The 27,898-nt window shown below is 37.4% G+C and overlaps 1 protein-coding gene and 1 long non-coding RNA gene across 7 annotated transcripts in view; one reads left to right on the top strand and one right to left on the bottom strand.

Annotated features, from left to right (window-relative positions):
• LOC105372146 (uncharacterized) overlaps nucleotides 1-27,898 on the top strand; it is a 107,606-nt gene that overhangs the window by 25,140 nt on the left and 54,568 nt on the right. The gene's annotated exons all lie outside the window — the stretch shown is intronic.
• Nucleotides 602-27,898, bottom strand: part of MALT1 (MALT1 paracaspase) — an 83,013-nt gene continuing 55,716 nt past the window's right edge. For 2 of the 4 annotated variants that reach the window (NM_006785.4, NM_173844.3), the window contains 7 exons: nucleotides 21,505-21,682; nucleotides 20,698-20,772; nucleotides 19,750-19,877; nucleotides 13,065-13,214; nucleotides 10,584-10,741; nucleotides 9,288-9,413; nucleotides 602-7,674 (listed from right to left, as the gene is read on the bottom strand). In NM_006785.4, the coding sequence (NP_006776.1) occupies nucleotides 7,237-7,674; nucleotides 9,288-9,413; nucleotides 10,584-10,741; nucleotides 13,065-13,214; nucleotides 19,750-19,877; nucleotides 20,698-20,772; nucleotides 21,505-21,682 (1,253 nt within the window). In that variant the 3' untranslated portion in view covers nucleotides 602-7,236. Of the gene's footprint in view, nucleotides 7,675-9,287; nucleotides 9,414-10,583; nucleotides 10,742-13,064; nucleotides 13,215-19,749; nucleotides 19,878-20,691; nucleotides 20,773-21,098; nucleotides 21,198-21,504; nucleotides 21,683-27,898 lie in introns of those variants that run through there. The other 2 variants (XR_007066087.1, XM_011525794.2) reach the window with 2 other exon arrangements.

Raw genomic sequence — 27,898 nt, 5'->3', positions numbered from 1 at the left:
GGCCAAGTTTGGTGCTGTTTGCTCCAGGGGCCCGAACTGCAGGTCAGGACCTGCTCACATGGCCTTTCCCTGTCACCAGCAGCTCACACTGGCTGACAGTGTGGAGTCCAGTGGCCTGGACTCCCTCCAGGCCAGACGCCTCCAGCCCTCACTGTGCAGTCAGGAGGCTTTTCTTCCCCTTTTCTAAGGGCTGCGGTCTCCCAAAGGCGCCCAGCTGGTGTGGGGTACGGCTGTGTGGGGGGAGAATATCAAAGCAAACAGCGGGGTTTAACGCAGACCAAAGCTTACTTGGAAAGGCAATGTGGAAAACAGTGGGGAACCCCAAGGCTGCCGCTCCAACAAGGGGCTACTCTGACGTTTGAAAACCACTAGACAAAGATGTGAGGTCAACTGTCTGACCAGGAGATTGGGAAGGAAACAAAGCCGCTTACCCAAGTTGGAGCATAACATAAAGGATGCTGAGGTTAGATGGCAATGTAGGAACCCACATCTGGCAAGAATAGATGTGTATGTTATAAACACAGACTATAAAAACTGTCAGCCTTTGAGGGAGTCACTGTCTTTGTAATGTAGAAATAACCAGTCTGTACAGACTTGGAAGTGGTAAAGCTAAAGCTTAGGAAAATATTTTTAAAATATTAACAATTTCCCTAGCAGAACAGCCTGCTGTATTGAGCATAATGTAGCAACATTAACTTCAGGTCAAATCCTTTGGAAATGTTTTCAATGTGACCTAAAAGTATATTTAGAGATGTACTTCTGCTCCTATAATGTTTCAATATTTTAAAAGTGTTTTTCATGGAAGAATGAAATATTAAGACACTGTTGTGTACTTTTCCCGTTACGGTATAAGCAGCAGCAGTACTGTGGACAAAACACCCGGCTCTGGTCTGGGTCTGAATCATCCTGGCTCTGCCCTTACTAGCTGGGTTATCCTGGAGGGTATAGTAACACCTCTGGTTAGCCTAACAATCAGTTCATCTATAAACTGCAAGGCTGTTTTAAATAAGACTGTGTGTAAAATGTTTAAACCTAGCACACAGAAAGGCATTCTATCTGCTACCCTGGTGCCTAATTAGCAACTTATTAATGTAGAAATACTCATCCAATCATTTTTAGTATCTAAAATGCTATTTATCAACTAAACTCAAGCATGAAAAAAAGTGGGAATTACTTCAGATTTAGAGGCAGAATCAGCTTTACTAATTTTGTAACAGAATAAGCACTCTGTAATGACACTGTACTTTTAAACTGAAGACTCCTTACGAAAAGTTAAAAATGTGTTCTTAAATGTATTGAAGCTGAGCATATTTACATTACACAATTGTGCATATCTGTATTTTAAAATTATACAGTCATTGTTCACTGTGTAAAATCTGCAAGACACAGGTAAACAAGCAAAGAAAAATTATCCCACCAGAGATAAATGCTGTTAATCTTTTAGTAAATCACCTTTAGAGCTGTTTTGCGGGATAGATACATAACACAAACTGGTGGCATTAAATCTGCATGCTTTTTGAAAAGTGATTCTGGAGTGAACAAAAATTGCAACTTTAGAAGATATACACTGCCGGCCGGGCATGGTGACTCACGCCTGTAATCCCAGCACTTTGGGAGGCCGAGGCAGGCAGATCACTTGAGGTCAGGAGTTTGAGACCAGCCTGGCCAACATGGTGAAACCCTGTTTATTTTAGTAGATACTACTAAAACTACAAAAATTAGCTGGGCGTGGTGGTGTGTGCCTGTAATGCCAGCTATGCGGGGGGCTGAGGCACGAGAATCGCTTGAACCTGGGAGGCGGAGGTTGCGGCGAACCAAGACGTGCCACTGCACTACAGCCTGGGAGACAGAGTGAGACTCAAAAGACAACAACAAAAAAACAAATAAAAAAAAACACTCTATACTGCCTACAGGTATAGCTTTAAGAATGCCAGATTTAAAGCACAAGGTTGATGGGTTGATGCTTTTCAAAATGCTGGCACTTTAGAGGAATGGTCTTATTTAGTACTGCCAGCTCTGGAAAGTATTATAAGCTCTTTGATGTTACAGCATCATCCCCATTTTACAGATAAGGAAACAGAAGCACAGGCAAGTTAACGCTCTTTGAGCCACGCTATTAGTAAGGGCTGAAACCTGAGGTGTCTCAGACTCCTTCTTCATAAAGCCAAACTTTGATGCTTAAGTATTTTTAATGCTACCAAATTAGAAAAAAAGAGAATATGCACATTTACACATTTTCATATTCTGATTGTACTCTTCTTTACTAATATTTTATTTTTGAGACAGCGTCTTGCCCTGTCGTCCAGGCTGGAGTGCAGTGGCACAATCTCTACTCACCGTAACCTCTGCCTTCTGGGCTCAAGCGATCGTCCCACTTCAGCCTCCTGAGTAGCTGGGACTACAGGTGTGTGCAACTATGCCCAGTTAATTTTTGTTTTTGCTTTTTTTTTTTTTTTTTTTTTGGTAGAGATGGGGTTTCACCATGTTGCCAAGGCTAGTCTCAAACTCCTGGGTTCAAATGATCTGCTTACCGCAGTCTCCCGAAGTGCTGGGATTACAGGTGTGAGCCACCATGCCCAGGGTTTCAGTGTCAAACTCTGAATTTGAATGACAATGTCAAACTGAGAAACAGGATGAAATGCACAAAAGTAATGTGTAAATTGAGTAGCTGACATCAGTTGACAGATAAAAGTAATGACAGTATATAAGCGTCAGGTGAATGTTCAAGGAATAGGAAACAACATTGTCAGGACGTCTGTTTGGAAAAAAACCCTTAAAAGTAAAATTACATACATCAGATTTTATCTAGATATTAAACTGATGCTGCTGAGGCAGGAGGATCACTTGAAGACAGGTGTTTGAGACCAGCATGGGCAACAAAATGAGATCCCACTTCTAATAAAATTAAAAACAAACAAAAAAAAGCTTATGCCAGTATACATGTCAGTGATCTAAGCTCTGGCTACATAATTGAATTTCTTCAATTTGACAAGTCAAAAAATTGCGACTGCTGCACAGGACACCTCACTGTTACTTCATGTGCAAGTCAGAGATTTGAAAAGAGGCATTAGAGATGGGGGAAGAAGGCAATGTCTAAATGGACCTTTTCTGTGCCAGGATTCTTCTTTAAAGGCTTTCTTTTCTGAAACGTTTTGACTTGTTCATCACTGAATGAGGAACAATAGTGTTTTAAATTCAAATTGTCCCATGAGTTGAGATTTCTTTTATTAGGAAATATACAATTTATAATTGTGACTTTAATTTTTAAAAATTACCTTCCAGAAAATATCCCCTCTCAGCATCAAGTATTGGCTTTGAATTTGGGTGAGCCTTTACTTGCTCAAACCTCCACTATCCTAATTTCTTTATTACATTCTAATTGGTATTGACAGATTTGATAGATTATCATCTTTTCTAAATTCCACTTGTGTAAATCCTACTTTAATATTACAAAGCAATTGGCACGAGATTCAAGTAAAATAAAAGCATGGTTGATAAAAAAGAAGACCAAAACTGTTATCATTCTTCTTAAGCCCGTTTTAAAATTACATGTTTAGATTTTTTAAAAAATTCATGCGATTCTCCTGTTTCAGCCTCCACGGATGCTGCAGTGAGCTGAGACTATGTCGCTGCACTCCAGCCTGGGCGACAGAGCCAGGACTCTGTCTTAAAAAAAAAAAAATCAAATATACAGAAGAGTATAAAGGGGAAGTACGATTCTCCTGCCTCAGCCTCCCTAGTAGCTGGGATTACAGGTGTGTGCCACCATGCCCAGCTAATTTTTTTGTATTTTTAATAGAGACAGGGTTTTGCCATCTTGGTCAAGCTGGTCTTGAACTCCTGGGCTCAAGTGATCCGCCTTCATTGGCCTCCCAAAGTGCTGAGATTATAGGCGTGAGCCACCACACCCATCCTAAAACTAAAATTTTATGTTCAGTTCCTCACACTAGCTATTATTTCAACTGCTCAACAACCCCATGAGGCTAAAGGCTATCACACTGGGAGTGCGGATACCAAGCATCCCATCATCACAGCAAGTTCACTGGACAGTGCTGCTCGGTGGTAACCACAGCTGAGCACCTGCATGTTTGTTTGTTTTTTTATCAGATACATGATTTTTCAAAAATTTTTCTCCCATTCTGAGGGTTAACTTCACTTTCTTAATGGTGTCCTTTAAGGCGCTAAAGTTAATTTTGATGAAGTCCCATTTATCTACTGTTTGCCTTTGTTGCTTGTGCTTTTGGTATTATGTCTAAGAAACCATTCCTAAGCCCAACATCACAAAGATTTACTTCTGTTTTCTTCTAAGAGTTTAAACTCTTATATTGAGGTCTATGATCCATTTTGAGTTAGAATTTGTAATGTGGTAGGAAGGTAGGGATCCTTTTGCTGTGCACGTAGCTACCAGTTAGTTGTCCCAGCACCGTTTGTTGAAAAGACCACTCCTTCTCTATTGATGGTATTGGCATCCTTGTTGAAAACAAGTTGACCAGAAATGTATGGGTTTATTTCTGGATGTTCAGTTCCATTCCTCTGATCGATATGTCTATCCATATGCCTACACTGTCTTATTGTAGCTTGGTAGCACTTTTTGAAATTGGTACGTCTTCCAACTTTGTTCTTTTCCAAGGTTTTTTGGCTATTCTGGGTCCCCTGCGTTTCCCTACCAATTTTACCAGTTTGTCAATTTCTGCAAAAAATACAGCTAGGATTTTGATAGGAATTGTTGAATATGTAGACTAATTTGGGCAGCATTGCCATCTTACCAATATTCAGTCTTCCAATCCATGAACATGGATGTCTTTCCATTTATCTGGATCTTAATTTCTTTAAACGTGTTGGAGTTTTATTCTTGATGCTACTGTATATAGGATTTCTTTATTCTCATTTTCAGAATGTTTGCTGTTAGTAGAGAAATAAAACTGATCTTGTATCCTGCAACCTGTTGAACTCATTTATTACTTTTTATGGATTCTTTAGCATTTTCTATATACAACTATGTATCAACTGTGAATACATATAGTTTCACTTCTTTTGCAGTATAAACCTCTTTTCTTTATTAGCTTATTTGATTTTTAGATGTTGAACAAACCTTGAATTCCTAACCTAACTGCTGTGGCTAGAACTTCAAGTACAATGCTGAATAGAAGTAGTGCCGAGTGAACATCCTTGTCCTTCTTCCCAATCTTAAGGGGAAAACATTCAGCCTTCAGTCTATCACCATGAAGTATAATGTTAGGTGTGGGCTTTTCATAGATGTTATATTTATCATATCTAGGAAGATTCCTTTTATTCCTAAGTTTGTTGAGTGTTTTTATGAAAGAGTTTTGGATTTTATCAAATGCTGTAATAAGACAATCTGTGTGGGTTTTGTGCTTTATTAAATATGGTACAGTTGATCCTCATTATTCAAGGTTATGTATTTGTGAATTTACCAACTTGCTAAAATTTATAACCCTCAAATTGATATCCGTGGCACTTTTGCAGTCATTTGTGGATATGTGTAAATGGGTGAAAAATTTGAGTCACCCAGTACACATGTTCCCAGCTGAGGCTGAACAAGATGATGCTCTGCCTTCCTGCTTCAGTCTCATAGAGAAATGACTGGAGGGTGGAAATGGCAGGGGCAATTCTGTGTAGTACAAGAAGCTCTGGCTCCGGGGCCAGCTGGATGGGGTTTGAATTTCAGCTCTGACACCTGTTAGGGGGGTGCCTCAGGCATGTCACTTAACACTTCTGATACCTCACTTTCACTTCTGTAAAATAAGGTAGAATTTGCTAGGATGAATTAAGAATTCAAGCTCATAATGTGTGTGAGATAAACATATGTATACACACATATACACAAATACACTTTCTCCTAAAAGCAGTTGTTCCATATTTAATTCAGTGTTTATGGGAGAATATTCTGTAGAACATAATTACTGTGAATAATGAGAACTGACTGTATATTAGCTTATTTGATTTTTAGATGTTGAACCAACCTTGAATTCCTGGGATAAATTCCACTTGGTCATGATATAGAATCCTTTTTATAGGTTGCTGGATTCAGTTTGCTAATATTTTTGTTAATGATTTTTGTGTTTGTATTAATAAGGAATATTGGCTTATAGTTTTCTTGTGATGTCTAGTCTAGTATCAGGGTAATACTGACCTAGAGTAAGTTGGGAAGTGTTCTTTCCTCTCCTACTTTTAGAAACAGTGTGCAAAAAATTAGTGCTAATTTTAATGTTTGGCAGAATTCAACAATGCAGCCATCTAGGCCTGGGATTTTCTTTGTGAGACTTTTAAAATTACTAATTCAGTATTTTTCCTTGTTAATGCCAATTGCATTTTTAACCAACTTTTAGGTAGAGCCAAAGATAAGAGTATTATCTCATTAGGCCAGTGAAATTCAAGAAGAAAATACATATTATCAAGGAAGATGCTAAATATTTGGGAAATTCTGATAGGCAGCTATGAAAATTATCCATTATATCTTGATTCTTAACCTCTATCTAGCTTTAACAAACATTTTATCACTTCTCATGTGGTTTCATAATCTTATGAACAAGAAATTTCAGCCTGTTCTATAACAGATTTATATACAAACCTCTTAACTAAAACTTGCAGTGAAGTCCTTATAATCAAAAACTAAAGTTTGTACATTCCTTGAGATAATACACAGATATGTATCTGTATATATTTATATATATATAAATATATTTCACTCTATCTACAAACATAACACTTATCTCAGAACCTGTCAGGAAGGCAGTTGTGTAGTGGAAAAAATACTGGAATAGATTTCTGGAGGTCTCAGTTCTGGTGCCAGCTCTAACTTAGATGCCTTTCTGTGTTTCTTCCATGGATAAAATTAGGTTATGCCTGGTGATCGGCAAGGTTCTTTCTGGTGTTAAAAATACAATGACTTATTCTACAATAATGCCATTCCCATTGCTCTTACTTCAGAGTGGTCACAATGAAAATATTTTGTTATATACATATAAACATACACACCTCCATACTTCATTTGTATAGAACTATTCAACCAATTCACAAAATCTTAGAAAGAGGAAGTCTGTAATTAAATAATGTAATTTCAACATCTCAAAGTCCTGAAGTTTGCTATGAAACAGTTACTACTATTCTTTCTCTACATATACAAATTTGCCTTTTCACAATGTCTCACTTTATGTAAGTGCAGTACTATTTCACAGGCATCTAAAATTATGCTAACTTTCAAAAACAAGGAGGTCATTTTTCAGAAATTCTGAGCCTGTCAGAGAAACTAAATGGTATTTCATCAGTTGTCTCTACTGGCACATTACTTCTACTAAAATGACATGAAGCATGGTGAGCGAAACTTGAAATAAATGCATCTGGAGTCCGGCTGCAATGACAGCTATCTGCTGGTGTAACATTACTTGGATTACCAGGATGTGAATGGTAAACACCATGGAATGGGTCTTGCAATGAGTGATAATGCCCTGCTCCTCCTGAGGTGGCTGCAGAACTCTGGTAAGGACCATTAGACATAAGACAAGTTTGAAAGCAAGTCTTCCTTCCCAAACCTCGATGCATGTCTAATTTAGCAATGAGAGGTTTCCCAACATTCACTTCCTGCTTGTCCTCTACAGTATCTTCCAATCCTGAGTACTGATATGATAAACATACTGTGAAGACTAGATGTTCCTGAAAAGGAAAAAAATCTGGTTTATTATTGGCATCAACAGTGAATATATATCAATCTGAAAATATTCACACATACACACCCCCACCCCCAAAAATCCACTCACTCTCCTTTCCCAGGTTCCAAATCCTCAAGGCATCCTTTATATCTCCCTGAAACTGAGAAACGCCAGCTATCATTATCTTCCTTTTCCTTCATGCAATACTTACAACCCATTTAGAATTTCTAGTTCTTACTACTGTTAGTAGTCAAAGTCAAAGAGATCTTTCTTACACTCTAGATGAACAGGGAAAACATTTTCCAAGCAGTGCAGCTTAGGAAACTTACCCTTCCCTATTATTAGAGATGGGGTATTAACTTTTAATTAAAAAATGATCTGGGCCCGGCGTGGTGGCTCACGCCTATAATCCCAGCACTTTGGGAGGATGACGCAGATGGATCACTTGAAGTTAGGAGTTCAAGACCAGTCTGGCCAACGTGGTGAAACCTGTCTCTACTAAAAATACAAAAAATTAACTGGGCATGGTGGTGTGCGCCTGTAGTCCTGGCTACTCGGGAGGCTGAGGCACAAGAATCACTTGAGTCTGGGAGGTGGAGGTTGCAGTGAGCTGAGATCGCGCCACTGCATTCCAACCTAGGCGACAGAGAGAGACACCATCTCAAAACAAAAAAAAAAACCTGGTTTTATACCAGTTTTATAAAAAAAGCTTAAGCTGTTTTTAAAATATTATAGTAATCCATAATCGTAGGTGGAAAATATAACTGAATCAGATAATGGGCTAACTTTTTAAGAGAAGAAAGGATTTTAAGTAGATGAGCTCCGAACAGGATGACAACAGGTTTATGTGTGTAATTCTCAATCATGCCCATTCCATTCCCTGAGTTTTAGCTGATACATTCTATGGTCATGTAGTTGTGAACAAATTAAAAGCTTTCATTAGAACACTCAATGTGCAGAACTAGCTTCTCATTTGTAAGTCAACTAGAAATAAAAAAATGGAAAAAAAATTCTAATTTGCTATATGTCTAGTCATAGAACTAGGAAATGATTACTTGAAAATCTGAACATATTTAAAAGTAGAATATGGAGCTGGGAGTGGAAGCTCACACCTGTACTCCGAGTGCTTTGGGAGACCAAGAAGGGAGGATTCTTGAGGCCAGGAGTTTGAGATTGGCCTGGGCAATATAGTGAGATCCCTTCTCCACAAAAAGTTTTAAAAAATTAGCTGGGTGTAGTGGCATGTGCCTGTAGACTCAGATACTTGGGAAGCTGAGGTGGCAGGATCATATGCACTGAGGAGTTTGAGGTTATAGTAGGTCATGTTCATGCCACTGCACTCCAGCCTGGGTGACAGAGTTAAGACTCTGTCTCTAAAAAAAGAAAAAAGAATATACTCTAATGTTACTAATTTTTTAGCATTCTGGAGGGTAAGCACACATAAAGTCCTCTGGTCACCATCGGAAACAGAATATAAAAAGGGTCACTGATAGGACCTTCTGTAGACTGGTTATCTCTACTTTAATAATAAGGCAGCATATCTATGGTCTATGCCAAAATAAGTTTCCAGTTTCATAAAGTTTTCCATTAGTAGCTATAAACAGAAAAGGTAGTAACCTTTAATTTTTGCAGTGAACTGAGTCTGGTATAGAGGCAATGCTTGGGAAGATCCTTTGATACCAAGTAGCTGCCAGTTTCTTCAGGTGTGCCTTTATTTGCATCTTTTGGATCAATATCTAGATCCTGTAAAAAAAAAAATTAGGGACTGTTAATAATGAAATCAATGAAAGCCACAATATAATCTAGTACATAAGACATCTTAACTGATACTATCCTCTCGTGAATTCTGGCCTCTCGTGAATTTTGGTAATCCCAAAATTATCCAGGACTAAACAATGAAAACAACAATCTATGGTTATAATAGGAATTCTCAATTCTGTACTAAGCCATCTAAAAAGTAAAGTGAGCTCTGAAAGAGCTTCCTTTCAAATGATTCCTAGAAATGCTTCTTGAGCTACTCAAGTTTCCTCTTAAGCAGAGAGAGCCCCATTAGTGTTTGACTCCTGGATTCTCTCCTCTTAATCATCACTTTTGGGAAGGTGCAGGGAAATTTATATGATTAGAATATTTAAGAAGGATAAATAAACAGCCTTTTCCTTTTTCTTCTTTTAGAGCCAACCCAATGGCCAAGAGTAAGGGTTCTGCTGCTCCAGTGAGAAGCCCACAGGCCCCCAGCTTGCTCAGTACCTCAGGAAGCCTATCTGGGCTCCGTACTGCTGAGACTGGAGGTGTGGGGTGGCCACTCAATTCTGGGGTTTGGTGCTAGACCATTTACTCTGACATGAAGCAATATCCTCCACAAAGCCTCTATCAGTAATCAAAGTGATATTTTGGGTTTCTGCTTGTCTTACTCCTTGCTTGCTTCTCAGTTTGTCACACTCATGTAGGAAAGAGGGGTACTATTTACTGGCTTCTTTAGACCAACGTAAAATAACTATCAAACCTAAATGTTTGAAAAGAGCAGAACTAGATTTCTATTATTCCAGCATATGACCATACCTTAACAAGACTTAAAAACTACTGTTTCCAATATAAGTTATAACTGTTTAAAAGGAAATTATTCTTGACATATTTATAGCACATTTTATTCCTTCACATTGGCTCTCGTGTTTAGGATATAAGAAATTAGAGGCATCCTTCCTGAGTGAACTTTAGACATTTCTAAATCTCATAAACTTAAGGTATTTTGGCAATTAGTAAATATTATGATCAGTGTTACTAAACTATAAATATATACACATATATAAATATATATATTTCCTTTATATTTACCATCAACTTTAAGTTTTAAAAAATTTAGTCTTTAATAAGTGAGAATATATCACTGTATTTTAAATAAAAGAAGAGACTCACAAGTGGAAAATCAGTAACGTAGGCATCACACATTATTATCTCCGGTGGTTTGTAAACTATACTTGTATAGATGATCATGACATTGGAAAACTCAGCTGCAAATCCTAATTGAATCTGAACACCACAGTCAAACTTAAGACACATACTTTCTGGAAGTTCTGAAAAAGAACAATAAGAACAACTTTGGTAGGTTTTCTGATGATAAGAGGCAAATATTTATGGAGGAGAATATAGTTAGCATTTCTTTTGCTTAAAAACATGATTTACATTGTTTAAACACATACAATTTAAAAAATAATGCTCACTATTCTGCTGGCCAAACAAAGTCTTTCATTTACCATTTGTTTATAGTTCTTATCCAACTGTATATATAATTTTTATTGTGGCAATCAAAAATATGCATACAATTGTAGATAAATTTTCACTGTTGCCTCAATTTATATGACCAGAATTTTTAATAAAGCACAATGTCACTGAACAGCCACATTATAGTTTGTTACCTTTAACCATTCTGTTAACTCTTGAATATTTATAATACCTCTGGGTTTTATTGTTTTTCTATCATAGTTAATATTTATATATACGTAATGCTTTAAGATAGATAAAGCTATGTGATTGTTCCTTTACATATGGGACAAATTATTTTCAATTTGCATGGAATATAAAGTTTCAGCATAACATGTCCAAAACAGAGTATTAATTTTTAAAACATTTGTCTACTTGATGGTATTAAAAAGCAGAAAGATACCATCAGTTTTAATTATTCCTTAATTACTTACATTAGCCATTTAAAAAATTTTTCTCTATACTTCCAGCAGTGTGGATTGTTGAATTTGTATCATTTGCTTGTTTACTGAGGAGGGTCTTAATTTTTTTTCTCTTATTTGTTACAAATATTTTCTATATGACCTTTTCATTTTGTTTTATGAAGTTTCGTTTATTGTTGATCTTTACCACCGTAATTTTGCTATTTGTTGTTTAGATCTTTTTTAGAGAAAAGACATTCAATTACTTATCCAGTTATCTGGAATGGTGAGATATTTATAGCATTTTACATTTTAATGTGCTTTAATATGTTAATTTACTAAAAATATGTATTAGAGAATAAATTCTTTTTTTGAGACTGAGTTTTGCTCTTGTTGCCCAGGCTGGAGTGCAATGGCGTGACCTCAGCTTACTGCAAACTCCGACTCCCAGGTTCAAGTGATTCTCCTGGCTCAGCCTCCAGAGTAGCTGGGATTACAGGCACCTGCCACCATGACCAGCTAATTTTTTGTATTTTTAGTAGAGATGGAGTTTCACCATGTTGGCCAGGCTGGTCTTGAACCCCTGACCTCAGGTGATCTACCCACCTTGGCCTCCCAAAGTGCTGGGATTACAGGTGTGAGCCACCACACCTGGCCAAGAACAAAAATTATTATTTATGAAAATAAAGATATTTTATAGAAGTTCATTAAATACAATTATTTTTCAATTATCTATAAGAGACTCACAGACTAGATACTTGGACTCAGAAAATCCAAAATTATTTCAATTGGTAATTTAAACTTATTTTTTCATTAAACCATACACAATTACCAAAAGGTAATTAAGCTACAGATTGATTTTCACGTCATCTTCTCTGCTGATCACTCAACTTACTGATCAAGTGTCCAAGAGAGGATGCTCAGTTATACGAATAATCAAAAGTACAGAGGACTTGTCGAGTGCCATGCTCATTTCTACCTATGCACTCATTCAATCCCAATAACCTATGAGGCAGGTACTATTTCTTTTTCTTTTCGAGACAGAGTCTCGCTCTGTCGCCCAGACTGGAGTGCAGTGGGACAATCTCTGCTCACTGCACTGCAACCTCCACCTCTCAGGTTCAAGAGATTCTCTTGCCTCAGCCACCCTAGTAGTTGGGATTACAGGCACGTGCCACCACACCCCGCTAACTTTTTGTATTTTTAGTAGAGACGAGGTTTTGCCATGTTGTCCAGGCTGGTGTCTAACTCCTGACCTCAGGTGATCCACCTGCCTTGGCCTCCCAAAGTGCTAGGATTACAGGCGTGAGCGACCACACCCAGCCTGAAGCAGGTACCATTTCTTATTTACATGTTATAGATAACATGTTCATAGAGTGGTAGAGACTGGATCAGAACCCAATCCATGATTTTCGACAGGTCACAATATAGGAGAATCTAAAGGATTGTGTATTAGACAAATGGAAACTTAACCTATTTTAAAAATAGAAAAATTTTTAAATGGTCATTTAAATTTTACCAATAGTGACAATAATGGGCTAAATAATTTGATATTTCTAAATCAAATAAGCCAGTGTAATATCCATAATTGAAATATTTGTTTGGTTTGAGATTTGCCTAGTAGGCCAAAATATTTTCACTGTAAAACTGGGAGGAAAGTTATTTATTCAGAAGAAACTTTATGATTTAACGTTAAGTATATTGTAGATCTAACAAAAAATGGGCTTTACCGTACCATGAGCCTTGGCCCACTGTAGATTCCGCACAAGAGATTCAGCAGAATATTCTGTTCCCTGTATTGGATCAGTAAGTGCTCTCTTCTCAGATAAACTACTTCGAATCTCTAGAGCCTGTTTGCCTTTGGTAAGGTGACACTTACCCATATCTAAAAGATATGAAAATAAATATTATTTTTAAGACCACCAATTCTTATGTTTTAAATATTTAGGCTAAGAACTATCCTACATTATCAGGTTATATTCTCAGTATCATTTATTCACTCAACAAATATTTCCTGAGCACCTATTATGTGCCAGACATATCAGGCATGTTTTAATTTTTACTCATGTGTGTAAGTGTTCATAAATAGTATATGCCAATGTTTTAGGTTTTTGAATTCAACAAAAATGTTCTATGTATGTCTTTGTAATGTACCATTTTCATTCAACATGTTTTAGATAGACTAATGTATATGGATACACATCAATTTAAATTTAGAAGTATATTATTTAAGTTATAGTTTATCCTACTTCTGTCTACTATGTTATAAATTAACAATAGTAAGGTTCTTTTTTTTAAAAAAAGAGACAAAATTATATAGTGATCCAGAACTAAGTCTAAGTTAAATCAACATGTTGGGAGTTAAAAGGAGATACCAAGTATTGTAGGAGTACATTAAAATTATTATTTGTTAGAGAAGAAAAGATATAAATACAATTTTTTTAAAAAAGATAAGAAAATGAGCCAAATCAAAAAATTAGATGGTTAAAACAGGTACAAAAAATAACAAATGTAAATTAACTAAATTTTCTCATTAAAAGACCAAGATTATCAGATTGGATTTTAAACAATCTGTTATATGGTGCCTCCAAAAGCTACAGCAAAGCAGAATGACATGAAATGTTTGAAAGTAAAAGTGTAGAGAAGCAGGCTAGCCTAGGGGTTAAGAGTAGGAAAGTAAAAGTGTAAAAAATAGCATATTAGGTCAACAAAAAGGAAGTTGGTGTGGCTCTGTTAGTATGATACAAAAAGAGAAGAAGCATTTGAAATGGAGGCATCACTACATAATGATAAAGGTTCAATAAGAAAATATAAACATTTAAAACACGAAAATAGTCACTATATATGAAGTAAAAAGTGCTAGAACTACAAGAAAATTTGGTAAATTGAGAGATTTCAACATCTCAATTATTGATCAAAGAGACAATCAGCAGAAATATAGAACTGAACAAAACAATAAAAATTAATACGCCAAACCTAATGGGCATACATAGAGTTCTGCAACCAGTTACTACAAAAATATCCATTTTTCTCAAGTACACATGCAAAATTTACAAAATTTCATCTTTTACTTGGCCATAATGAAAACCTCCACAAATTTCAAAGCATAGCAATTAGACAGACTATTATTCGATCACAAAGCAATTAAGGTAGAAATAAAAAGCAAAAAGTGAAATGAAAATTCCTGCCATATTTGAAAATTAAAGATAATATTATATAACTTAAAGGTCAAAGAAAAAAAAAGTCAACTAAAAAAAATCCCTAAACTTATAGGATGTGTGATGAAAGTGATGTTTTAAGAGAAATGTAAAGCCTTAGAAACTTAAATTGGAAAAAATAGGCTAAAAGTGAATAACTACGATGATGTTAGAAAAAGAAATAATAAATGCAAGGCAAGACATAAATAAACAGCAGAAGTTAATGATGTAGAAAACAATGAAAAAGTAGAAGAAATCAACAGAGTCAAAGATTGGTTCTTCAAAATGAAATAGCACAATTGGCAAAAGCTGGCAATAAATAAAAAAGGAAAGTAAGTACAAGTAATACTGATGAAAACGGATATATAACTATGGATAAGGCAGAGATTAAAGAATACTATTAGAAATATGAGCAACTAAATGACAACGAATTTGAAAACTGCCCAAATTCCTAGGAAAATATAACTTATCAAAATTGACTCAAGAAATGAAAAGCCTATATGGTACAAGAAATATTCAAGATACTGAACCAGTGGTTAAAAATCTTCTACCAAAAAAATACCAATCCCAGGTTGGTTTATAGGCAAGTTCTACCATAAACATTAGGGAACAGATCATAATTTATACAAAAGTTCCCAGTAAACAACAGGGTGTACTTCTTCTGTATTAGAGTTCTCCAGAGAAGCAGTACCAACAAGATGGGCGCATGTGTACACGTACACGTGTGTGTGTGTGTGTGTGTGTATGTGTGTACATAGAGGGACAGTGAGAAGAAGGGACTGACTTAAGGTATTGGTTTATGAATTGTGGCGGTGCAAGTCTGAAACCTGCAGGCAGGCAGGCTGGGGATGCAGAGGAGAGTTGTAGTTTGAGCCCCAGAGGCGGGCTGCTAGCAAACTCCATGCTTGTGGGAGGTCAGTCTTTGCTCCATTAAGGCCTTCAGCTAACTGAATGAGGCCCATTCACATTATGGAGAGCAATCTACTTTACTGAAAGTCCATCAATTTAAACTTTAATCTTATCCAGAATAATGTTGGATCCATCACCTAGAAACATCTTGAATAATGCTGGACTAAATATCTTGGCACTGAGGCCTGGCAAAAGTTGACATAAAATCAACCATCTTGGTTGTCCTCCATCTCATTCCACAAGGCCTACGCTACATTCTATCAGATAACACTGATACTCTGTATGCCACTGATACTGATAACACTGATACCACTAAATACTAATTTTATTTTCTCATAAAATTAAACCAAATACTATAAGAAAGTAAAATTACAGGCCCATTTCCCATATGAATATAGATATGAAAATTCTAAACAGAATGATGGCAAATTAAATCTAGTAGTGTATTAAAAATATACATCCCAATGAAAGTGATTTATCTCAAGTTGGATTAATGTTAGACTATCTATAAATTTAACTCACCATATTAAGAAATTGAAAGAAAAGAAACATCCTATTTTCTTCTTCATAGCTGCAGAAAAACCATTTAATCTTGTTCATTTATTCATAATAAAAATTTTCAAAAAAATTAAGAGAACTTCCTTAACCTGATAAAGTGTTAATAAAAAAACTTACAATATTATTCTAAATGTGAAGACATTAGCAGTATTTCCTTTAAAGTCAGAAACAAGACAAGGATGCCCACAACTACCTATTCAATTGTGTCTTAGCGGTCCTCGCTAGTATTATATCAAGAACACATACAACATTCCTCTAAATCAATAAGCCAAAACACACACACACACACACACACAGAAGAATGCACAAATGACATAAAAAGATGTTTCACATAAGATATACATATAGCTATTAAAAATATGAACAATGTTCAATATCACATGAGATACTATTTAACATTTGGCAAAAATAAAAAAGTCTGACTATCAAGTGATGGAGAGAGTACAGATTCACATTATCCCTTGCTGGCCGTGGGGAGTAGGGTTAAGTGTAGACTCGGCAACCACTTTACAAAACTGTCTGGCATTCTCTCTCAAAATGGAATACTGTCACACCCTATGACCCAGCAATTCCAAGTTGTAGAATTATACTGCAAAGAAATTCATGCATACATATTCCAGGAGACATACACAAGACTGTTAATGATAGCACTGTTAACATAGCAAAAACCTACAACTAACTCAAATGCTCACCAACACAGGAGAGTAGTTGAAAAAAACTGTAGTATGTTTGCATAACAGAATATTACGTAGCAGTTAAAAACTACAGTCATGCAACAATAGGGATCAATCTTAGCAACATAATATTAACCAAAAAAATCTAGTCCCAAAAGACTACATAGAGCATAATACCTTTTTATGAAGTTAAAAACAAAACTACGCATACTTTTTTGGGTATATATAAACTCAATAAAACTATGTAAAACGAAAAAGGAATAAGTTTAGAATGGTAGTTATCATGGAGTGGGGGAAGGGAGAAGAGGGGTCCTATAATTAGATGTAGGTTACTTCAAGGTCCTATATTCATATCGAACATCTACTCACAATGAAAACCTTCAGTAGTATGTTCAACACTTCTAATAATAATGCTGTCCTGAATAGTACAAAAATAAAAGTCACGTTACAGATTGATGGCTGTAGCATTATAACAACCAATTTACCTCATATTTTGTTTTCCTTGCACACAGTTGAAATTGGTAAGGTGGGCCGGGCGTGGTGGCTCACGTCTGTAATCCCAGAACTTTGGGAGGCTGAGGCCGGTGGATCACTTGAGGCCAGGAGTTCGAGACAGGCCTGGCCAACATGGCGAAACCCTATCTCTACCAAAAATACAAAAATTAGCCGGACGTGGTGGTGTGTGCCTTTAGTCCCAGCTACTTGGGAGGCTGCGGCAAGAGGATCACTTGAACCTGGGAGGTGGACGTTGCAGTAAGCCAAGATCATGCCACTGCACTCTAGCCTGCGCGACAGAGACTCTGTAGTCTCACACAAAGAAACCAAAAAATTAAAAAAAGAAATTGGTAACATGTTTATTTTCCCCTTCAACTGCTTGGCTTATAATCTGTGAATACTTTTCTCCCTCTGGAATTTTCTTTTTTTTTTTTTTTGAGATGGGGCTTGCTCTGTCACACATGCTGGAGAGCAGTGGTGTGGTCATACTTACTACAGTCTCAAACTGCCAGGCTCGAGCAATCCTCCCACCTAAGTCTCGCGAGTAGCTGGCACTGCAGGTGCACACCATAATGCCTGGCTAATTTTTTAAATTTTTATAGAGATGGGGGGTCTGACAATGTTGCCTAGGTTGGTCTCAAACTTCTGTGTTCAAGTGATTCTCCTGCCTCAGCCTCCCCAAATGCTGGGATTACAGGCATGAGCCACTGTACCTGGCCCCAAATAATTTTTTTTTTAAATTGAGATGGGGTCTTGCTGTGTTGCCCAGACTGGTCTTGAATTCCTGGGCTCAAGCAATCCTCCTACCTCAGCCTCCCAAAGTGCTGGGATTACAGGTGTGAGCCACCATGCCCAGCCATGGAATGAGTTTCAATTAAGTAATCTGGAAGATCCAAAGGGAGAAACAGCAAAGTTTTGTTTCAAAATTGGATGACTTGTGAAAAATTTCATACAACTACTTTTGCTCTTTACTACTAAGACAGGGGTCAGACACAAAGCATCCAAAACTCAAAATAAGGGCTAGATTTAACTGTATTATTTATCATGATACTATTAGGCCTTTACTTATTTTGTACAATGAGTGGGCCGTTACCCACGAAGGGCACAATGTGCACGGCACTGAGCTGAGTGTGCTCCATGTACACTACAGGGTCTTCCTGCCTGGGCAATTCTGGTTAAGCAGACATGGTAGGACTGAAAAAGATCAGCGAAAAGCAAAACTGTCTAAGATGTTTATAAGAAGTTCAAATATCCTCACAGCACATATCGGGATGCCATTCATTGCTATGACAATTTGGTAAATATCATATGTGAGTGAGCATGGTGCTTTTTATTAAGTTTTAAAATAGTTAAAATGGACTTAAAAACGAAATTGAAATAAAACACTGTAGAGTTTCTGGAGCACCTTACTGGATCTCAGTTTGAATATAACTGACATAATCCAAAGGTTTTCTTTCTTTCTTTTTTTTTTTTTAAAGCAGCAGAGCCTTTCCTTCAAATGTAAGCTTCAGAAGAAGCCTAATGTAGAAAACAAATAAAAGTGGAACTTCTCTGGATGAAGCGGGAGGGTGGCAGGAAGTCCAAAGCCCTGGCTGGTTATGTTAAATGGAAAAGTGGCTAAGTCAAGTGATCTAAAATAGCTACACAGATAAAAACATGAAAATAAATATGGCTGACAGTTGGTCAAACACCTTATACCCAAACTGCCATCACTGGAACATCCATGAAACTCCATTTTCTAGTGGTGCTAGTTTGTAAAATAATTTCTTCTTTTTTATTTTTATTTTTTATTTTGAAGACAGGGTCTCGCTATGTTGCCTAGGCTGGTCTTGAACTCTTGGCCTTAAGTGATCCTCCTGCCTCAGCTTCCCAAAGTGCTGGGATTACAGGCTTGAGCCACCATACCTGGCCAAGTTACCTTCTTTTTGCTATGGCTTATAAAATGTTTTTTCAAAAAACACAGTGCAATCTACTGAAATAATAGGTACTTGTTCAGCATCTGACATATGCACAGCATTATACCAGCAGGCAGGGAGAACAGATAGAAATGGAAGATGTGGCATTAGACCCCCTAGGATCACATCCTTAAATCAGGATTTAAAAACTACTAAGTTCATCAGGGAAAAAAATGAACTCAGCTTTTCCCAGCAGTGTCTAAAAATTTCTGTAAAGTTTTCTCTCTCCCATCCTGGGAGAGACTGCTCACTGGACAATTCCCCACCACCCCTCCATGCCACCCACCCACCCTCAAATAGGGAGATTTGCCAGTACCAAGGCACTGGGCATAGAAGCAAAGTAGAGCTCTGAGAATTCAACTTTATTAATGACTGTGCCGAGGCTTAGCCTTGTAGTCTGAGTAATGCTGCACAGATGGTGGAGAGCTAGGTCAAAAGGGAAGGAAAGATGACATTAAATAGCAGAAGTGTTGCTGAACGTTATATTAATATAAAAATTGTTTTATAAAGTAGGTACTAATTCCAAACCCACATAATAAGAATAAAACAATCACCAGAGAGGGAACCCTGAATAGGTGTGTCTCCCCTGCTCTCCTTTTTCTGAGTACTTTTCTCTTTATTTTTTATTTTACCTTCTGCAACTTCATCCAGTAACACAGTGATTTTCTTATCTTCTAATAATCTGTCTTTTAAAAATTTCATAAAGATTCCATTTGCCAATCCAGAATGCTGGATTTCAAAAGCTTCTGCTCCTTGACACCTTAAAAATAGAAAAAGAAGTTAAGCCAGGCACAGAAAGGCAAATACTGTATGTTCTCACTTATATGTGGATGCTAATAAAAATGAACTCAGAGAAGCACCCAGCAGAATGGTGGTTACCAGAGGCTGGGGGGGGGTGGGGACAGCGTGGGGACTGTTAGTCACAGGGTACAATGTTTCAGTTAGGAAAAAAGATAAGTATTTGAGGTGATATGTGAATTATCTTGATTCAATCATTCCACATTGAATACGTACATCATAGCATATCTTTGTATCCCATAAATACATACAATTATAACTTGTCAATATCCAATAAAAATAATTTTTTAAAAAGAAAATGTTAGAAAAGCAAACACTTGCCACATGGGACTTCTGTATACACCAATAAGCTTCATTTTCTCTTCTGCCTCTCACATGACATTGATAATTAAAGAGTTAATCTTTAAGCAGGAATTACATGCCCAATTTGGGCTTAATAATTAAGATACCATGATATGGAATGCTAAAGTCGATCATTTAAAATTTTCTACGCAGAATATCAAGGAGGTAAATTTATGCCTACATGTCTATAGGTATTTTCTAGGCCTCTAATCTATAATCAAAAAACCCTCAGGGGCCAGGCACAGTGGCACATGCCTGTAATCCCAGCGACTCAGAAGGCTGAGGCAGGAGGATCGCTTGAGCCCAGGAGCAGTGAGCTATGATGGCGCCTCTGCACTCCAGCCTGGGTGACAGAGTTAAGACCCCTGCTCCTAAAAAGCAAAAACAAAAAGACATCAAACAATAAAGGAAACTTCAACGTAAACATCAAATGTTCTTACGTGGCATATCCAAACACAATATTGGCGGTGACTTTTAGTGCATCCAAGATTGGAATGGTATCATCGTAGTCATTTCTATTTAAGGGAGGCGGAGGAGGGCAGATAGAAATATGAAAAGTTAAAGAGCATTCTTAAAAGGGTATAAATAATGAGAAAATACAACAGTTTTTTAGAATACATAATTTAAAATTATAGATTCAAAATTTTTCATCTAGGTAGCTACATATCTACCCAAAATAACCCACTAACTCCTTGTTAGCTTTAAAACTAGAGTTGCATTTGAACTCTGGCATTGGATTTTGATTGGTAAATGCTGAGCAAGCAAAAAAATAGTAAATCTAGAGGAACAGTCATTGGTTCTACTCCTTAGAAAGGCAATGGCAGACAAATGGGATCCAAACCTCCAAACATCTGCTTCGGCTACTCATTCCATGTCTGGAAGACCAGGACTGACTAGTGAGCAGAGATCCCAACTCCATGGGTGTTGGTTTTGTTAATTCCTGAGGGAATAACTATAGTGATTATTAAAGTCATCTAAAGGCATTCTGGAGAGTTGAATCCCCTGTAGTGTGAGTAAATGCCCATGCCCTTTAGTTCTTCATTTGTGTTCTATAGCAAATATGAAGAGTTAAAATAATTAGATATACATGGAGTAAATGTATTTTCCTCTAGTTTTGTTCTTCCAGTTTCAATGTATAAACTAAAATTCACAAACGCAAATGGCTTTTAGCATTTCACAGGTTTCTCTAGTTTGTCATGGTCGATATTTAACTCCAACAATTCTTTAATAAAGATTAGAAAACTTACCTTTTCCTACACATATCCAATAAGAACACATTAAGTCCAGTTTCTTTTTCTTGCATCAATTTCAGTATATTTTGTACACACAGACAATTTTCAGACCTATATGGATTTGGAGCATCAACGGGGACCATGAAGCTGTTCCCAAAATTTTCATAACCATGTCCTGCATAATATAATAACCCTGAAAAGAGGAAAAATAAGAGAGAGATAGATGTCAATTCTAAATGCACTCTGAACATACAGACTGCATAACTTTTTGTAGAAAAACCTTGACTTTAATTTTCTTCAGGTTGATGTGAGCATATGTAAGAAATACCCAATTATAAATATAGACAATGTTATTTTGCATTTAAAATTATTGGCAACAGGCCAGGCATGACGGCTCACACCTATAATCCCAGCACTTTGGGAGGCCGAGGCAGGCAGATCACTTGAGGTCAGGGGTTCGAAACCAGCCTGGCCAACGTGGTGAAACCCCATCTCTCCTAAAAATACAAAAATTGGCTGGGCGTGGTGGTGGGCACCTGTAATCCCAGCTACTTGGGAGACTGAGGCAGGAGAATCACTTGAACCTTGGAGGTGGAGATTGCTGTAAGCTGAGATCATGCCACTGTACTCCACCCTGGGCGACAGAGCAAAACTCTGTCTCAAAATAAATAAATAAATAAATAAATTACCAACAGTCTGCACTTAAAATTTGCATTTCAAGACAATATCAAAATGCTGTCTGAAGTATATCCTAATTTATAAAATATATTTGTAACCAATAGTATAATATAAAATACAATTTTATGTTATGATATATAAAAAAGAATGCAGCTAGGATTTCTCTCCTGACTCATTTGTCTCCTCCATGAAGCTAGGAGTTCTGTTAGGGCAGAGATAGTCTTACATTTATTTATTTGTGTGTTCCTGGCATAGAGAGCAGGAGCTTAGTAAGTATTTAACGGATGAACAAACACAATTCAGATGAATAGCAACTGCAATATGAAGTCAAGAAACTGCAGGTATTACCATAAACAGTTAAGGGTTATTAAAATATATAGTTTTATAATCAGAGATGGGAAATCTGACTTCGCAGATTGCTATTTTTTCTTTTTGCTATGAGATATAAATATCAATCTTCCATCTAGAGTCTTTTGACTCAATAATCTAAAATTTGGGATAGTTTTAGGACTCAACAGATGAATCATATTTCCTTACTGAGAAGTGATACTATAAAAACTAACCCAAACAACTCAATGTTTTCTTGAAATTTGTTTTGGCTGTAAAAAACAACAAAAATATCAGTCTGAACTTCTTCATAAAAGTACTGGACAAAACACTTTTGAAGATATCCTCCCCTCTGCTTGCAATATCTGGAGCCCACTGATTTTGCTCTCTCAATATTCTGGATTTAATGATTTCTTTACAGGGTATTTTAAAGCAAATAGTAAAAGCCATTTAGACAGGGAACCAAAAGTAGCTAATCCATTGTAATTATGGCCCCGACTCCTAGCAGAGAATGCGGCTTTGAGAATTAAAGACAATTTGCTTCATGTGGTCCTACAGGACAAAATCCAGGTCGTCTGCTTTTTCTGAATTTCGATTAAAATGAGAAAAATGGTTCTTTCAAATACGTTTCAGCTAAAATGAGAAAATGGATATACCCATTTTCAAGTGTGGGTTTATATTACAGCTCATGTGTGCACTGGAAGTTATCATGTAGGCACTGAGAGAAACAAAAAAGAAGGACAAAGTTCCTGACCTCTAAGCAGGAGATCAGGAGATTCATGTATCTCCATACATGAATTCACACGATTCACACGTTTATGTTATCAAGCAACAATGAAAGTCATCACATAATTAAATGCCATAAATCATGTTAGTGGGACAACCACCATGTACGTATGAAATGAGTAAAGTAGAGAGGAATATCAGTATGAAGTGAAACAACAGGGGATGGTCTTAAGAGAGGGAATGGCTAGAAATTTGCAAAGGCAGAGAGAGAGCGAGGTAGATTATGGGCAGGAGAACAGAAATAAACACGGATTGGACCTGGAATGAAAGCTAACAGAAAAGAGACTAGCCTAGCAAAAAACTAAATTACTGTTGTGAATGAAAATAAGACTGCACACACAGGGAATTTTAAAAAGGAGTGCACAGATAGGGTTTTAAAAATAATGACCAAAAGAATGGATTTAATTCAATAAACCACGAAGATCAGGTAAAGTGAAAAGACAACCCACACAATGGGAGAAAATATTTGCAAATCATTTATCTGATAAGGACAGCTTGTATCCAGAATAAAGAACTCTTCCACTCATCAATAAAAAGACTAATGACGGCCAGGCGCGGAGGCTCAAGCCTGTAATCCCAGCACTTTGGGAGGCCAAGGTGGGTGGATCACCTGAGGTCAGGAGTTCAAGACCAGCCTGGCCAACATGGTGAAACCCCGTTTCTACTAAAAATACAAAAATCCAGCTAAGTGTGGTGGTGGGAGCCTGTAATCCCAGCTACTTGGGAGGCTAAGGCAGGAGAATCGCTTGAACCTGGGAGGCAGAGGTTGCAGTAAGCTGAGATCGTGCCACTAGCACTCCAGCCTGGGCAACAGGGCAAGACTCCATCTCAAAAAAAAAAGACTAATGACTTGATTTAAAAATAGGCAAAGGATCTGATGCTTCTCCAAAGAGGATATATGAGTGGCAAATATGCACATGAAAAGATGCTCAACATCATTAGCCACTAGTTCCAAGTCATTTTAAACTCACCAGGATGGCTACAATAAAAAAGACAGACAAGAACAAGTGTTGGCAAGGATGCAGAGAAATTGGAACCCTCATTCATTTCTGGTGGCACAAATGTAAAATGGTGTAAGAACTTTGGAAAGAGTTTTGCAGTTCCTCAAAAAGTTAAATATAGATTACCATATGACCCAGGAATTTCACTTCCAGGTACATACCGAAGAGAAATGGAAACTACGTCCACACAAGAATGTGTACACAAATGCTCACAGCAGTATTATTAATCATGTCCAAAAATGTCCATGAGATGATAAATGGATAAACAAAATATAATCATATAATAGAATATTATCTAGCCCTAAAATAATGAAGTTCTAGTACATGCTACAATATGAATGAACTTTGAAAACATGTGAAGTGAAAGAAGGCAGACATAAAAGGCCACATATTGGGTGATTCCATTTATATGAAATGTCCAGAATAGGCAAATCCACAGAAACAGAAAATAGATTGGTGGTTGCCAGGGGCTGGGGTAAGGAGGAATGGGAGTGACTGTTAATGGATATGGGGTTTCTTTTTGGGGTGATGGAAATGTTCTGAAGTTAGGTAGTGGTGACTGATGCCCACTTTGTGAAGATACTGAAATCACCAAATTATACACTTTAAAAAGGGTACAACTTATACACCTCCATCAAGTATTCAAAATATAACTTTATTTTCCATCAGTCTCTTTACTGCTTCAAGAGCAAGATAAACTTATTTTTAACGTCCACAACTTTGCTCAAGTTACTCTATCTCCGTTCTATCTACCCAAACCATAACCAGTCCTCAAGGGTTATTTCCAAAGTTCAGAATCCTTAGCAAGTTACTCACCTGGTAACTACTACCTGGTAACTGGTTTGTGGCTTTCTAACACACTTCAAATTCTCCCTACTTTGAAATGCTGTAGCAGCACTTTCTGACAATCACATACTGGCTTTTCCTGACATTCTATAGTCCTATGTCTACTTAGTTTTTCTGATAAGAAATCATAATGACACTAATCTTTTACATTTACACACTCTGAGTAGCTCTTATCTGAAATGTTTGGGACCAGGAGTGTTTTGGATTTGGGATTTTCAGATTAGAGATATTCAACCTGTATAACATTTTCTTGGTTTTCAAAGGACTTTCATATACACAATCTAATTTTAATCCATATAACAACTTTAAGTGATTTCTGCCCTTATTTTATAGATGAGAAAATTAAATTACAAAGATTAAATGATTTGCTTAAAATCACAGAGTTGATGTTTTGACTCCATAGTGTTTTTTTCTCCTTGTATTAAAGGACTATAATTTTTTTTTTCTTTTTTTTTTTTTTTTGAGACGGAGTTTCACTCTTGTTGCCCAGGCTGGAGTGCAATGGTGTGATCTCAGCTCACTGCAACCTCCGCCTCCCGGGTTCAAGTGATTCTCCTGCCTCAGCCTCCCGGGTAGCTGGGATTACAGGCATACGCCACCATGCCCAGCCAATTTTGTATTTTTAGTAGAGACAGGGTTTCTCCATGTTGGTCAGGCTGGTCTCAAACTCCAGACCTCAGGTGATCTGCCTGCCTCGGCCTCCCAAAGTGCTGGGATTACAGGCGTTGAGCCACCGTGCCCGGCCCAGGACTGTAATTTTCTTAGGAGGACAGATCATGATCTTTATTCACTATTATTTCTCTCAGCACATAGCATACTCCTTCATCTGGACTATAGATGTAACAAAAATAACTCAGTAAATACTTACTGAATTGCATTAAATTAACAATGCAAACCAATCAAGACAGGGTCAGATCTGGAGGTCTCTTTTCAAGGGTCTGACTTTTAGTAGAAATGGTACCATTTCAACAACTGGTATTACTCAGAGACGACTGACAGCAGGCCTGGGTGCTGCCTCCCTCATGTCAGGTAATACGTCTGGCTCCAGCAAGACTTGATTGGGGTGAAGATACAACTCTGAGGGAAGGCTTAGCTTCCATTCATCCAGGGAAAAGCTGAATGTTGTTCTGTTACATTAATGCCACATGCCCAGCCCTGCAACTGCTGAATGGAATTAAGGCACTTAACACCAAAATATTTTTTCTCTTTCCCAAAATGTCTTACGAAAAGTGTAACTATTCTGTATCAAAGTCTGCAACCAAATTATATTGAGGGGAATTAAGTACTTTTGTGTAAAATGAACTAGTCCAAATCATTTTTTTAAAAAATTTATTTATTTATTTATTTGAGACAGGGTCTTGCTCTGTTGCCCATACTGGAGTGCAGCAGTGTGATCACAGCTCACTGCAGCTTCGACCTCACAGGCTCAAGCTATCCTCCCACCTTAGCCTCCCAAGTAGCTGGGACCACAGGCATGTGCCACCATGCCTGGCTAATTTTTAAATTTTTTGTAGAGATGAGGTCTCACTATATTGTCCAAGGCTGGTCTCAAACTCCTGGGCTCAAGCAACCCTCCCACCTTAGCTTCCCACTGTTAGGATTATAGGTGTGAGCCACCGTGTGTGGCCCAAATCGTTGTTGTTGTTGTTTTTAAATTCCATCTCTAGTACTGCTTATTTATTTAGTTAACCATCCCATTACTCAAGGATAGAGAAGAAAATAGGTATTTTTTAAACAAATGTCAAAGAACTTACTGTACTTAGAAATACAATTCTGCAAATTAGATCTTTAGGGAGTTTTATTTCTTGGGAGGATGATTCAAGAATATAGTCACAGATATTTATTTTTGTCTACAGAGAAAATAATCATTTAAATGAAAAACTTTTCCACTCAACTGAATATGCACTCCACTTAGCACAGTGAGTGGCTGATGAGCACAACACCCGCCACCCCAGCAGGCTTACACGGCACTTACTATGTGCCAGGCACGGTTCCAAGAAAGGTCACTAGTTACATTGCCTCACACAATCCTCACAACAAAGTAGGTAATATTAACATCCCTCTTTTACAGATGGGAAAACTGAGACATGAAGAGGTTTAAAAGCTCACCCAAACTGAAATGCCTAGTAAGTGACAGAACCAAAATACAGATGCAGGCCAGCCTCGCTACTGTGCTATATGATACTGTCTCTATAATCTACTGCTGGCTTTTTAGGTAACTCGACTCTCAGACAACGTAAAATGTCAGTGCACTGGCTTTTCACTGTTTTACTACACTACAGCTTTAAACCCCCTGACTTTTTTTCCTCAAAAAAAAAAAAAACAAAAAAAAAAACACAAAAAACCTTTGGCAGGCTGGGTGCAGTGGCTCACGCCTGGCCTTTTGGGAGGCCAAGGTGGGTGGATCACAAGGTCAGGAGATAGAGCGAGACCATCCTGGCTAACACAGTGAAGCCTGTCTCTACTAAAAATACAAAAAATTAGCCAGGCGTTGGTGGCATGTGCCTGTAATCCCAGCTACTCTGGGGGCTCAGGCAGGAGAACTGCTTGAACCCAGGAGGCAGAGGTTGCCGTGAGCCGAGATTGCGCCACCGCACTCCAGCCTGGGCGACAGAGCAAGACTCCATCCGTATCAAAAAACAAAACAAACAAAAACCCAAAACCAAAAAAAAAACCCAAAAAACCTTAGGTAGACCCTTAATACACAGAAACTGATTAAAGCTGGGTTTCTCTCATTGAGGCCTGAAATAGAATGCTACCTAGTCCAAATC

The sequence above is a fragment of the Homo sapiens genome, chromosome 18, assembly GCF_000001405.40.
Source record: "Homo sapiens chromosome 18, GRCh38.p14 Primary Assembly".
NCBI classification, from domain to species: Eukaryota; Metazoa; Chordata; class Mammalia; order Primates; family Hominidae; genus Homo; species Homo sapiens.
Note: the sequence above shows the minus strand (reverse complement) of the source record. Positions and strands in the feature narration are given on the sequence as shown.